This window comes from Homo sapiens, chromosome 7 (assembly GCF_000001405.40).
Source record: "Homo sapiens chromosome 7, GRCh38.p14 Primary Assembly".
Taxonomy (NCBI): domain Eukaryota; kingdom Metazoa; phylum Chordata; class Mammalia; order Primates; family Hominidae; genus Homo; species Homo sapiens.
Genome location: NC_000007.14, coordinates 139,323,964 through 139,339,201, shown reverse-complemented (window position 1 = coordinate 139,339,201; position 15,238 = coordinate 139,323,964). Strand labels below are relative to the sequence as shown.

Here is a 15,238-nt window from a genome sequence, read left to right as displayed (position 1 = left end):
TAAAGGGATTGGCACTGTCTGGCCCCAGTGGCTAGGAGACATAAGCTACTGAGCAGGAATGACAAACAAATGGAACATCAATTGTTCATTAATGAGTAAAGCTGGCTTGGTTGGAAACCTGGTGAACTGGACAGCAACTAGCCCACCTGTCCAGGGGGCAGCCATTACTCACCTCCACTGATTGTTGCCATTTTAGGAAAGCAAATCCTTTAAAAACCTTTTTTTTTTTCAGGAAACTCTGGAAATCTGTTTTAATGCTATAGATTTCCTTCTAAATATTGGCCACTAATGAATACTTTAAAAGTACTGCATGCCAAACAGCCCACAGACTTCTAGTCTGTAAAGAAAGAAGAAAAAAAGGGCGATAGGATTTGAAGTTAAGAAAAGGTAAAAAACATGTGGCGTGCCTAGTTCGTGGGAAAAAAAGCTGGTTTGATGATCCTGCCTTTTTATTTTTTCTTTTTAGAAAAATTTTTACAACTATATTGTCTTTTTAAGTTTTTAAATGATTTTTTTCTTTCCTATCATCTCCTTAGCCTGATACCCTGCCTTATCTTTAGGAAAAAAATGCTCCTGATAATAAATACAAAATATAATAAACTCATTTGTATTAACATGTGAGATTCTGTTCAAAACCCAGCCTCATTATAGGTCACTCTTCAGCACCCTCAGCTGATTACCACACTGGCTAAATTAAGGAACTTACACATCTTAAACAGCCTTCTCAAGATTACCATTTTAAATGTTCCCCACTCTTGGCCGGGTGCTGTGGCTCACGCCTGTAATCCCAGCACTTTGGGAGGCTCAAGGGGGGGCGGATCACTTGAGGCCAGGAGTTCAAGACCAGCCTGGCCAACGTGGCAAAAACACATTCTCCACTAAAAATACAAAAATTAGCTGGGTGTGGCGGTGCGTGCTTGTAGTCCCAGCTACTCTGGAAGCTGAGGCAGGAGAATTGCTTGAACCCAGGAGGCAGAGGTTGCACTCCAGCCTAGGTGACACAGCGAGTGCGAGCCTGTCTAAAAAAAAAAGTTCCCCACTCGTACGTATTTCCAGATACTGAGGGTTTTCGGATACTACTTTTTGGCTAGACACACCAACTAATTATTTAACCGAGTGTACAGTGATAGAATTAAATCTCCCAGGAGCCTGGCAACAAAGCAAGACTCTGTCTCTATAAAAAAAATCGATGTATATATGGTGGTGCGTGACCGTAGTTCTAGCTATGCAGTAGTTTGAGGATCACTTAGCCCAGAAGTTCAAGGCTGCATTGAGCTATTATCTCTCCACTGCATGGCACCCTAGGTGACACCAAGACACTGTCTCTAAAATAATAATAATTGTTGGGAGCAGTGGCCCACGCCTGTAATCCCAGCACTTTGAGAGGCTGAGGCAGATGGATTGCTTGAGCTCAGAAGTTTGAGACCAGCCTGGGCAACAGCGAAAACCCACTTCTACAAAAAAAATTTTAAACTTAGCTAGGTATGGTGGTGTGTGCCTGTATTCCCAGCTACTTGGGAGGCTGAGGTGGGAGGATCGCTTGAGCCTGTGGTGAGCCTTGATCACGCTACTACACTCCAGCGTGGGTATCAGAGTGAGACCCTGTCTCAAAAAAAATTTTTTTTCTTTTTGTGAAGGTGTTTCTGTTTTGTTTTGTTTTGTTTTTGAGATGGAGTCTCACTCTGTTGCTCAGGCTGGAGTGCAGTGGCAAGATCTCAGCTCACTGCAACCTCTGCCTCCCGGGTTCAAGTGATTCTCCTGCCTTAGCCTCCCGAGTAGCTGGGACTATAGGCGCATGCCATCATGCCCAGCTAATTTTGTTTGTTTGTTTTGAGACGGAGTCTTGCTCTGTCACCCAGGCTGGAGTGCAGTGGCGCAATGTTGGCTCACTGCAAGCTCCGCCTCCCGGGTTCACGTCATTCTCCTGCCTCAGCCTCCTGAGTAGCTGGGACTATAGGCACCCGCCACTAAGCCCAGCTAATTTTTTGTATTTTTAGTAGAGACGGGGTTTCACCATGTTAGCCAGGATGGTAATTTTGTATTTTTAATAGAGATGGGGTTTCACTATGTTGGCCACGCTGGTCTCGAACTCCTGACCTCAAGTGATACACCCGCCTTGGCCTCCCAAAGTGCTAGGATTACAGGCGTGAGCCATCACACCAGACATTTTTTTTCTTTTTGAAGTGGTTTATTTAATTAATTAATTTATTTTTGAGACAGAGTCTTGCTCTGTCACCCAGGTTGGAGTGCAGTGGCGCGATCTCAGCTCACTGCAATCTCCACCTCCCAGGTTCAAGCGATTCCCCTGCCTCAGCCTCCGGAGTAGCTGGGATTACAGGCGTGCACCACCACATCAGACTAATTTTTTGTATTTTCAGTAAAGATGGGGTTTCACCATTTTGGCCCGGCTGGTCTCAAACTCTTGACCTTAAGTGATCTGCCTGCCTTGGCTTCCCAAAGTGCTGGGATTACAGGCATGAGCCCCTGCGCCCAGCCAGAAGGTTTTAAAAGAGTAAAAACATTAAAACACAATAAAATAATTATTCAAACTAATGAATTAATTAAATTAAATTAAAACTATCACCCAGAGAGTTTGGTACCTATCTGGGTCATTATGATGATGTAATATAGCTCCCGTGTGGAGCTATGGTCTTTGGTCTTTGGGGCTGGCCCTGGAATAGCTGATCTCCACGACAGAACCTGCAAAGTGCTGTTAGCTTTGTTTGGAGATGGCCCACCATTATGGAATATGTCGTACCTGAGTGATGATATCTTGAGGCAGCTGTCTCAGTTGCCATCATTTTTCCAGTAATTGTCAAATAGAGATAGATCACATAGAACCTCCAAGGAGGACAGTTTTCCTGAGACTCTTAGAAACCTAAACAATTGGCCAGGCGCAGTGGCTTACGCCTGTAATCCCAACACTTGGGAGGCCGAGGCAGGCGGATCACCTGAGGTCAGGAGTTCGGGACTAGCGAGACTGACATGGAGAAACCCTGTCTCTACTAAAAAAATACAAAATTAGCTGGGTGTGGTGGTGCATGACTGTAATCCCAGCTACTTGGGAGGCTGAGGTAGGAGAATCGCTTGAACCCAGGGGGTGGAGGTTGCGGTGAGCCGAGATGGTGCCGTTGCACTCCAGCCTGGGCAACAAGAGAGAAACTCTGTCTCAAAAAAAAAAAAAAAAAAAAAAAAGGAAACCTAAACAGTTTATTTATTTAGTTCTTATTTGCTATGCTGTTTGTAATAAAAAGACTTGAGGAAAAGTATATAATTTACTGAGGTGAAACCTGACTATCAGGTTGTATGCACCTAGCATGATGACTTTAATGACAATCATTTGGTACAGTCACAATTCTGAATTGATTCAGATGACATAGAAGTGACCTTGGAATTCATTTAGATGCTACTTTTATTTTATGTGAGAAATTTCAAGCTCAGTGAATTACACAAATTCATTCTGCTAGTGATTTTTTAGTGCATTTTTGTTGTTATGGCATGTGACTTAAGATATTATGGAAGCCAGGTGCAGTGGCTCACGCCTGTAATCCCTGCTCTTTGGAAGGCTGAGGCGGGTGGATCACCTGAGGTCAAGAGTTCGAGACCAGTCCGGCCAGCATGATGAAACCCCATCTCTACTAAAAATACAAAAAATTAGCCGGGCATGGTGGCAGGCACCTGTAATCCCAGCTACTCAGGAGGCTGAGGCAGGAGAATCACTTGAACCCGGGAGGCGGAGGTTGCAGTGAGCTGAGATAGTGCCACTGCACCCCAGCCTGAGTAATAAGAGCAAAACTCCATCTAAAAAAAAAAAAAAAGAAAAGAAAAGAAAAAATGTCATTATGGCATATGATGAGTGTAGGAATGGTCTGCCACGGCATCTTGGCAACCATGCACGTCTCCATGTAGGTCATGTATATTGCAGTCAGGCACCCCCAAAATCTATTTCCCCACTTTTCAGTAGAATGCCCTGTGATTGCTCCTGATGCAAAAGGCAATATGCCCGGTAAGGAGCTACTGTAAGGCAGTTTCTGATCCCTATTTTTTGGGAGACTGCTACAAGGCCATTTCTCATCAACTTGTCTAATTTCAGTTGAGCACGGAACTTTCCACTTTATTCTAACTTATGGTACAGCTGCAGACTTCTGTGTAAGTCTGTAAAACACCTTGGCTGTAGTTTGGATTTGGCTCCATGGCAGAGCAGTCCACCACTTGCGCTATCTTCATCATCATGAGCTATGATTCATCATCATCCTGCTGGGCTGGGGACATGGGAGCAGACACCATCTTGCTTTTGCTGTCTGTGTAAATAATAAACTATCTGAACCCATTGGACTCATTGTCTCCTTCTTGACTGGTTCTGTGGAAGTTTGGCAAGTCAGCCTAGAAACTACTGCAGTGTTAGGCACTGAGCTGTTGCTTAGGGACTGCTTGACCACTTGAAAATGAGGTTGAATATAAAAGAAATGACACCACATTTGGAGTCACCCTCGATGTGTGAATAATAGACTCATTAAAATGTCCATCAACAGGGACGAATAAATAAAATGCAGCTTATCAGTACAGTGGAATACTACTCAGCAATAAAAAGGGACAAACTACTGGTGCATGTGATAACATGGGTGAATCTAAAGTCATTATCCTGAGCAAAACCAGACACAAAGCCTACATACTATATGATCCATTTATATAAAATCCAACTCAATCTATAGTGACAAAAATCTCATTTGGGGTAGTGGTTTCAGTTATATCAAAAACCATTAAATTGTACACTTTAGTGAGACATGGTGGCTCACTTCTGTAATCCCAGCACTTTGGGAGGCCGAGGCAGGAGGATCACTTGAGGTCAGGAGTTCAAAACCAGCCTGGCCAACATGGTGAAACCCCGTCTCTACTAAAAATACAAAAATTAGCCGGGCTTGCTGGTGCATACCTATGATCCCAGCTACTTGGGAGGCTGAGACACAAAAATCGCTTGAACCCAGGAGGCAGAGGTTGCAGTGAGCCAAGATTGCACTCCAGCCTGGGTGACAGAGCAAGACTCTGTCTCAAAAACAAAACAAACAAACAAAAAAAGACTGGAAGCGGTGGCTCACGCCTGTAATCCCAGCACTTTGGGAGGCCAAGGCAGGTGGATCTGGAGTTTGAGACCAGGCTGGCCAACATTGTGAAACCCCATCTCTACTAAAAATACAAAACTTTGCCAGGTGTGGTGGTGGACACCTGTAATCCCAGCTACTCAGGAGGCTGAGGCAGGAGAATCGCTTGAACTGGGAGACAGAGGTTACAGCGAGCCAAGATCACACCATTGCATTCTAGCCTGGGTGACAAGAGTGAAACTCCATCTCAAAAAAAAAAAAAAAAATTGTATATTTAAGCAGATGAAGTCAGGTCAGAAAGCTCTGTGTATATATCAGTTGTCTTCTCTTTCTGAACTGATTTCTTTTTTTTTTTTTTTTTTTTTTTGAGAGAGTCTCACTCTGTTGCCCAGGCTGGAGTGCAATGGCGCGATCTCGGCTCCTGCAACCTCCGCCTCCTGGGTTCAAGCGATTCTCCTGTCTCAGCCTCCCAAGTAGCTGGGATTACAGGCATGCGCCACCAGGCCCAGCTAATTTCTGTATTTTTAGTAGAGATGGGGCTTCATCATGTTGGTCAGGCTGGTCTCGAACTCCTGACCTCGTGATCCGCCCACCTCAGCCTCCCAGAGTGCTGGGATTACAGGCTTGAGCCTTACAGGCGTGAGCCACCGCGCCCGGCTTCTGAACTGATTTCTTATATGTATTAATTAAAGGCTAAACTGCTGTAAGAAAGAGACCTCAAACACAGTAGCTTAAATTAAAAATTAAATAAAAAATATTTCTCTTGCATAATAGTCTAGAAGTGGTCATTCCAGGTTAGTAGGGCAGCTCTGCTCTAAAAAGTCATCTAGGGACTGAGCTTCCTTTTGTAGCCGTGGGACAAGCTCAAGCTGATTAACCATTACTTAAGTTGTGAGAGGTGACACAGAGCCAAAATTGTCCAGGCATGTGAAACAGAAAGGGCTGTAACCTCCTAATTGTTACTACCACCAGCCTGGCAGACCAGCTACATTGGCATCACCTGGGACTAGATGGCCAGGCCATAAAGGCTGGACCCACCCACAGACTGGGGAGACAAGTTTGACCGCTGCCTCCCTCCTATCTCCTTGCCAGTTGACTTGTGATAATAAAGCTTTTTTTCCCCTCAAAAGCCACTGGCATAATATTAGCTTCTATGCAGCATTCCCCAGCACATTATCAGCTTTTTCAAACAATTGTACTTTCACTCTGTGCCTATTCAGTAGTTCCCCCTTATCTGAGGGCTGTACGTTCCAAGACCGTCAGTGGATGCCTGAAACTGCAGATAGTACTGAATCCTATATAGACTGTTTTTTCCTATACACGCATACCTATGGCAAGGTTTAATTTATAAATTAGGTACAGTAAGAGACTAATGACTAATAAAATAGAATAATTATAACAGTATACTATAATAAAGCTTATGTGAATGTGGTCTCTCAAAACATCTAACTACTGTACTCACCTATTTTCAGACATCAGTTGATAGCAGGTAACAAAATGGAAGGTGAAACCTCAGTGAAGGATATACTGTATTCCATTCGATTCACTTTTCTTTTTTCTTTTTTTTTGAGACAGAGTCTCAGTCTGTCACCCAGGCGGGAGTGCTGTGGTACCATCTTGGCTCACTGCAACCTCTGCCTCCCGGGTTCAACAAGCAATTCTCCTGCCTCAGTCTCCTGAGTAGCTGGGATTACAGGCGCATGCCACTGCACCCAGCTAAATTTTATATTTTTTGGTAGAGAAGGTATTTCGCCATGTTGGCCAGTGAGGTCTCAAACTCCTAACCTCAAGTGATTCACCCACCTTGGCCTCCCAAAGTGCTGGGTTTACAGTCATGAGCCACCGTGTCCGGCAGATCCACTTTTTATTTATTTATTTATTTATTTATTTATTTATTTATTTATTTATTTATTTATTTTGAGACGGAGTCTCACTCTGTTGCCCAGGCTAGACTGCAGTGGTGCGATCTCGGCTCACTGCAAGCTCTGCCTCCCGGGTTCACGCCGTTCTCCTGCCTCAGCCTCCCGAGTAGCTGGGACTACAGGTGCCCGCCACCACACCCGGCTAATTTTTTTGTATTTTTTGTAGAGACGGGGTTTCACCGTGTTAGCCAGGATGGTCTCGATCTCCTGACCTCGTGATCTGCCCGCCTGGGTCTCCCAAAAAGTGCTGGGATTACAGGCGTGAGCCACCGTGCCCGGCCAATTTCTGTATTTTTAGTAGAGATGGGGTTTCACCGTGTTAGCCAGGATGGTCTCGATCTCCTGAACTCATGATCCTCCCGCCTCGGCCTCCCAAAGTGCTGGGTTTACAGGCGTGAGCCACCGTGCCCGGCCAATTTCTGTATTTTTAGTAGAGATGGGGTTTCACCGTGTTAGCCAGGATGGTCTCGATCTCCTGACCTCATGATCTTCCCGCCTCGGCCTCCCAAAGTGCTGGGTTTACAGGCGTGAGCCACCGTGCCCGGCCCAGATCCACTTTTCAACACAGTAGCTCACTGACAAAAAATCCTCTCATCCTCTCTCCACAACCCTCCTAATTGCCTGCCCTGGTTTCAGTAGAGGGGAAATACTTTCTCTTCCTGAAAGCCATGCCTCTGTTGGGAGAGGAGAGAGGTTATGATTGAGTCAATCTGCAATGGCCAATGATCGAATCAGTCAGGGCTACATATGACGGTGTATGAAACTGCCACTAAAATTTCTCCACAACAGGGTTTTGGGAGCTTCTGGGTTGGTAATGCATTGAGGTGCTAGGAGGATGGTATACCCAGAGAGGGCATGGAAGCTCCACTTTTCCCGTTCCCATACTTTGCTCTATTTATTTCTTCCATTCAGCTGTTCCTAAGTTGTATCCTTTATAATAACCTGACGATAGTAAGTAATGCACTTTCCTGGGTCCTGTGAGTCATTCTAGCAAATTATCAAATCTGGGAGGATTGTGGGAACCCCTGAATTTATAGTTATGTCAGACAGAAGTGTGGGTAACCTGGGGACCCAATACTGGAGACTGGCCCAGGTCGTGTAAGTGAAGGCAGTCTTGTGGGACTGAATGCTTAAAGCTGTGAGTCTTATAGTAACTCTGGGTAGTTACTGTCAAAATGGAATTGAATGGTAGGATTCTCGGTTGGTGTCTGGAGAGTTGGAGAATAGGTTGGTGTCAGGAAGGGAAAAAAACAACTACCCTCATTTGGTGTTGAAGAGGTGTGAGAAAAAACCCAACAGTGGTATTGTAAAAGGGTGCAACCACTATGGAAAACTGTATGGCAGTTCTTCAAAAAATTAAAAATAGAACTACCATAAGATTCAACAGCCCCACCTCTGGGTATATATCCAAAAGAATTCAAAGTAGAAACTCAAACAGATATTTGTACACCCACATTCATGGCGGCATTATTCACAAGAGCCAAGAGGTGGAAACAACCCACGTGTCCATCAGTGGATGAATGGATAAATAAAATGTGGTCTATTCATATCATGCAATATTATTCAGCCTTACAGAGGAAGGAAATCCTGTCACATGACAAACAACATGGACTAACCTTGAAGACATTACACTAAGTGACATAAGCCAGTCACAGAAGGACAAATACTACATGATTTCACTTATATGAAGTATCTACAGTTGTCAGAGTCATAGATAAAGAAAGTTGAATGGTGGTTACCAGGAGCTGGAAGTAAGAGGCAAAAAGGAGTTATTTAATGAGTACACAGTTTCAGTTCTACAAGATCTGGAGATCTAGTTCACAACAATGAAAACATACTTAACACTTAAAACAGTTATGATAAATGTTATGAATTTCTCATACACTTAAAAATTGAAAAATTTCTCTGTCACTTAAAAAAACTGATTTTGTTTGGTTTTTGGCCTCTATAGATACCCCAAACTTGCATTAATTGAGGTCATCTAAGGTGATGTACATTTGAAGCAAATAGTTCTTTTTCCAAGTAAAGTAATTGAGGGGGCACCCTATAATATGACAGGTGTTGTAAGGGCTTCACTACAAGAAAACTCTTTTCTGGGGATTTTCTTAGGGGGAGATGGGAACTTCAGGCTCATATGGTACCTTGCCCAGAGTGCACAGCTTGTGGGCCTTGTGGAGCCAGCATGAGAACGCAGGACTATCTGACCCCAAAGCTAGAGTTCTTAGTCATTGCACCTTGGTACCTTTGCAGCCATGGCCACAGCTATTTGTTGAATTAATTGAACAGGAGTTGGGAGAATGCTTTTCTGCTTTTCTTTTCCAGTTATGTTAGTGGCCCCAGTCCTCTGATCACATTCTCAGTTTGTTGGTGCTAAATCCTGGTCTGGGGGCAGCCAACTAGCCTAGAGCAGAGTTGGATTCCAAAGAAGGGTTTGGCCCTCATTTTGAATACCTGTACAAGCAGAAACATACTGGGACAAGACGTTCCAAGGCATCCTGGAGCTCCTACATCCATCACCCACGTAAGAATGCTCTCACGCCAGTTCCTATGGGTTTGGAGCTATGATAACTAAAAACTCCTATGGCTTAGAATGGAACAACCTTCTCTCCTCTGTAGTGGATTACTTCTGTTTCAGTGGGAATGAAAGTGTCAGGCCAGTGGGGCTCAATACTGAATATACATTAGAATTACCCAGGGAGACTTTCAAAAACACCAGTGGCTGGGACCCACCCCCAGAAATTCTGATTCACAAGTTGGGCTAGGGTCCAAGCAACAGTAATTTTTTTTTTAAGCTTAATGTGTAGCTGGGGTCAAGAACTGCTGTCTCAGCAGATAAGCAACTGGAACAGTGGTTGACTGGGGGAATCACAAGAGTATCCGATTTCTCCTTGACCCTTCTTGTCAGGGTCCAAATTGTTCAGAGACATCTCTAAGGCAAGGCCCCTGTAAGAAAAGAAGAAACAAGTCTTATTTTTGAAAAAAAAAAAAAAAAAATCTTTTGCTCACAGCAACTGGCCATACTGACCTCTAAATCATTCCCTGGCTTTATTTCACACGAATTTCTGTCCTTGGCCTTGAAGTTTATAATTAAAAAAAAAATAGAGATTGGATCTTGCTATGTTTCCCAGGTTGGTCTCAAATGCCTGGGCTCAAGTGATCCTCCCATCTCAGCCTCCCAAAATGCTGGGATTACAGGTGTGAGCCATCTCAGCCTGCCTGAAGTTCATGATTTTTAAATTGCTGCTAAAAACCTCTGCATTTGAGTTTAATCTTTAGTTTCTACTGATGGGTTTCTAATTTCTTTTCCTTTTTTTTTTTTTTCTTGAGACAGGGTCTCAGTCTGTTGTGGAGTGCAGTGGTATGATCATAGCTCACTGCAGCCTCAACCTCCCCAGCTCAAGCAATCCTCCTGCCTCAGCCTCCTGAATAGCTGGGACTACAGGCATGTGCCACCATACCTGACTATCTGATTTCTGATTTAACATGTTTTTGTGAGTTTCATAATGCTGATGCTGGTTCATCTCTGGTGTGAGTCATGATTCATCCTAATTTTCCCTGGACTCTTTCCCAGTACAAGCTAGATGACCTATGTCTCAGCTCCATCATCTTCCATGTGAGCCAGGATGCAACTGCTCAGAGTAAGGACTTCTCACTCTAGCAGCTCTTCTGTCCGAGGTCCCTGTCAGGGTTTGGCTCTAGCTGTGGCCCCTGATATGGTTTGGCTCTGTGTCCCCACCAAAATCTCATGTCAAATGGTAATCCCCACATGTCAAGGGAGGGGCCTCGTGGAAGGTGATTGGATCATGGGGGTGGATCTCCCCCTTGCTATTCGCACGACAGTGAGTGAGTTCTCACAAGAGCTGATGGTTTAAAAGTGTGGCACTTTCCCCTCCACTCTCTCCCCTGCCACCATGTAAGATATGCCTTGCTTCTTCTTCACCTTCCATCATGATTGTAAGTTTCCTGAGGCCTCCCCAGCCATGTGGAACTGTGAATCAATTAAAGCTCTATTCTTTATAAATTACCCAGTCTCAGGTAGTTCTTTATAGCAGTGTGAAAATAGACTAATACAGCCCTTTTTGATATAATCTTTCAAACCCTAGCTGGAATCCTGACACTTTCAGAGTCAACAGAAGAGGAAACTATATAACTTAAGGAGAATGAATTAATCTGTCCCACTCACATTCATGTTTATTTTATCAACCTCTAGTTCACAAGTATATGGTTTTAAAGGGCAAATACACAGGAGGGATTAGGGAGAATTCTATCAGTTATTCTCCTTGTGATAGAAATTTAAGCAGTTTTCTGAGATGCAGCAGATTTTAGCCAGCCCTGAAGAAGCGGGATAATCTTCTGGAAATAGGTCTTCAATAACTGTTGTGGTAAGGGGTGATACGAATTCTGGACTTACTGAACTGCCACAAGACTCTTATCTTCCATTCTATGCTATTAGTTCATTAAGGCAGAGTGCTATGGTTTGAATGTATTCCCCAAAGTTCATATGTTGGAAACTAGGTTCCCAGTGCAAGTGTTGGGAGGTGAGGCCTAATAGGTGATTAGGTCACGAGGGCAGAGTGCATTAATATTGTTATTGCAGAGTGCTCGTGGTCACTAGAGTGGGCTTGTTATAAAAGTGAGTTTGGGCCCCTTTTGCTTTCTTGCCCTTCTGCCTTCTGACACAACACAAAGGCCCTCACCAGATGCCAGCACCTTGATATTGGACTTCCGAGCCTCCAGAATTATGAGAAATAAATTTCTTTTCTTTATAAATTACCTAGTCTGCGGTATTCTGTGATAGTAACACAAAATAGACTAATACACAGAGTAAATAATAAAATGTTGGCTCTGGGCTGGGTGCAGTGGCTCACGCCTGTAGTCCCAGCACTTTGGGAGGCTGAGGCTGGCAGATCACCTGATGTCGGGAGCTCGAGACCAGCCTGACCAACATGGAGAAACCCTGTCTCTACTGAAAATACAAAATTAGCTGGGTGTGGTGGCACATGCCTGTAATCCTAGCTACTCAGGAGGCTGAGGCAGGATAATCGCTTGAACCCGGGAGGCGGAGGTTGCGGTGAGCTGAGATCGCGCCATTGCATTCCAGCCTGGGCAACAAGAGTGAAACTCTGTCTCAAAAAAAATAAACAAATAAAATAAAAAGAAAAGAAGAAGAAAATACTTTCATTAAAAGGATGCGGGGTGCCTCTCACAATTTTCTGGTAAGGCTAGAGACCAGGCTTGGGAGTGACACAGCCAACAACCTCACCCAAATCCTGCCACAGATCTGGTTCAGTGAAAACAATCCCAGGCACAGTCACCACAGTTTGCAGTGGTGACACAGTGGCCCTGGGCTGGACCCAGACACCTGCACCAAAGCTGCTGCTACAGCACACTGGCAGTGGCTGGCTTCTCTGCTCCCATATGTGCCAGGATGAGTCTAAGTCATTATCTGGGTCATGTTCTCAAGTGAGTGGTTCTAATTGGCATGGCCTGGGTGATGTGCCCATGTCTTGGCTTCAAGGAAGCCTGGGAAAGCAAATATTTTATCATTCAATGAATTTTAATGCACACCTGCTATGAGTTAGGCACTCTTCTAGGTGCTAAGGAAATCAGAGCAAGCAAAATAGGTAAAAGTTCCTATACTCACAAAGCTTCTGTTCGAGAGGTGGGCAGATAATGATAAATAACAAGCAAAACAAAGTTTGTCAAAGGGTGATGTGTTCTATGGGGAAAAATAAAGCCAGGGCTGGGGACTGGACCTGCTGCTTTGTAATGTGTTCTGGAGGTCCTTCCTCAGAAGGTGATATTTGAGCTGAGAGGCAAATGATAGGAGGGTTCTGCCATTTTCAACGTGTGTGTGTGTACATATGCTGAATGGGGCAATGCCCATTTTTTGTTTGTTTGTTTGTTTGTTTGTTTGTTTGTTTTGAGACAGAGTCTTGCTCTGTTGCCCACGCTGGAGTGCAGGGGCACAATCTTGGCTCACTGCAACCTCTGCCTCCTGGGTTCAAGCGATTCTCCTGCCTCAGCCTCCCAAGTAACTGGGACTACAGGTACACACCACCACGCCTGGTTAATTTTTGTAATTTTAGTAGAGATGGGGTTTCTCCATGTTGACCAGGCTGGTCATCGAACTGGCTAATTTTTGTACTTTTAGTAGAGATGGGGTTTCTCCATGTTGACCAGGCTGGTCTCAAACCCCTGGCCTCAAGTGATCCATCCCCCTTGGCCTCCCAAAGTGCTGGGATTACAGGCGTGAGCCACCGCCCGGTGCAATGCCCATGTTTTTAACTAAAGAAACCCTACCTCCACTCCCCAGCCATTGTCAGGTCACCTCCATCCTGTCCTTCAATCTTTATGTGAAGGTAAAGGAGCTCTGGGACAACAGTTTACTATGCCCAGCGAAACTGTGGGGACAGACTCCGAGGGCCCAATCTTTACTCTTCAACTACAGCAAGGACTGGCAACCTGGATGTGCTACCATAACTGGGGGGAGATTTTGGTGGGCAAGTGCCAAGACTGATGAAAATGAGTATACATCAGAGTATACATGCGTGTGCATGCACTTCTGTCGAGTGTGATGCTATAGATGTTGTGTCTGAAAGCAGTGATTTCGGCCGGGCATGGTGGCTCATGCCTCAAATCCCAGCACTTTGGGAGGCCGAGGCAGGTGGATCACTTGAGGTCAAGGGTTCGAGACTAGCCTGGCCAACATGGTGAAACCCTTTCTCTATTAAAAATACAAAACATTAGCTGAGCGTGGTAGTGGGCACCTGTAATCCCAGCTACTCAGGAGGCTGAGGCAGGAGAATCACTTGAACCCGGGAGGCGGAGGTTGCAGTAAGCCAAGATCGCACCATTGCACTCCAGCCTGAGTGACAGAGCAAGACTCTGTCTCAAAAAAAAAAAAAAAAAAAAAAAAGCAGTGATTTCTAAACTTTTTTATATTATGTACTCATATCAGTAAAAGTCTTGTTCCTCCCCTGTAATCCTTTGTATTTATTTTTAAATTATATACATTTACTATGGAAGCATTATAAAACATGAAAAAATAGAAATGTTTTAAAAATGAAACACATATTTTGAAAATACTTTTATCAACATTTTAAAAAGTCCTAATTTCTCTCAGTAAAGAAAGATTATGATTGTGTATTTTATTGACAACACGTAATTCAGTATGTTTCGTTGTTCTGAAAAATCTTATTTTTTTTTTTGAGATGGAGTCTTGCTCTGTTGCCCAGGCTAGAGTCCAGTGGCGCAATCTCGGCTCACTGCAACCTCTGCCTCCAGGTTCAAGCCATTCTCCTGCCTCAGCCTCCCAAGTAGCTGGCATTACAGGCGTCCACCACTGCACCGGGCTAATTTTTGTATGTTTAGTAGAGACGGGGTTTCGCCATATTGGCCAGGCTGGTTTCGAACTTCTGACCTGAGGAGATCTGCCCGCCTCAGCCTCCCGAAGTGCTGGGATTATAGGCGTGAGCCACCGCGCCCGGCCATATTCTGAAAAATCTTTAGCACGTTATTTCAGGCAACAAAATTGCACAGTGATAAACATTTCTAAACATTCATTTTTCAAATTTCTCTCTTCATAGCATAAGTTTCTTTTTCTTTTTTTTTTTTTTTTTTTTGAGATGGAGTCTCCCTCTGTCTCCCAGGCTGGAGTGCTGTGGCGCGATCTCGGCTCACTGCAAGCTCCGCCTTCTGGCTTCACGCCATTCTCCTGCCTCAGCCTCCCGAGTAGCTGGGACTACAGGGGCCTGCCACTGCGCCCAGCTATTTTTTGTATTTTTAGTAGAGACGGGGTTTCACCGTGGTCTCGATCTCCTGAACTCATGATCCTCCCGCCTCGGCCTCCCAAAGTGCTGGGATTACAGGCGTGAGCCACCACGCCCAGCCAAGTTTCTTTTAAAATTGGCAGTTAATGTCTCATTAAAGCTTAAAAACAATTTTAACTTAAAGAGACCCATTAAGGATCTCCATTTTTTTCAAAATATCAGCTAGGCATCCATATTAGTCAGGGTTCAGCAAGAAAAAGAGAACCACTGTAGGCCTTTCAAGCGGACAGGAATTGAGTGCAGGGTATTTAAATGCTTATGACATCATAAGAATGGCAGCGGGAATTAGGAGCTAGGGGAAGTCTGCTACCACACAGTACTTCAGAGTACAGGAGGTTGGTTGCTGCTGTCACCCAGGTCAGAAAAATGCAGGAAACCCCTGTTG

At 44.5% G+C, this 15,238-nt stretch overlaps 1 protein-coding gene across 1 annotated transcript in view, besides 1 other annotated feature; it reads right to left on the bottom strand.

Moving 5' to 3' along the window:
• UBN2 (ubinuclein 2) overlaps positions 8,774-15,238 on the bottom strand; it is a 99,192-nt gene continuing 92,727 nt past the window's right edge. Inside the window, exon 16 of the mRNA XM_011516003.3 lies at positions 8,774-9,964. Coding sequence (XP_011514305.1) covers positions 9,923-9,964 — 42 coding nt within the window. The 3' untranslated portion in view covers positions 8,774-9,922. The remainder of the gene's footprint in view (positions 9,965-15,238) is intronic.
• Positions 12,970-13,149: a silencer, noted in NCBI's record as "fragment chr7:139010799-139010978 (GRCh37/hg19 assembly coordinates)". NCBI's record gives its function as "represses an EF-1alpha promoter that drives an FKBP-Casp9 reporter gene in an ReSE screen in phorbol 12-myristate 13-acetate-treated (for megakaryocytic differentiation) K562 erythroleukemia cells {active_cell/tissue: K562(+PMA)}" and the evidence as "EXISTENCE:reporter gene assay evidence [ECO:0000049][PMID:32094911]".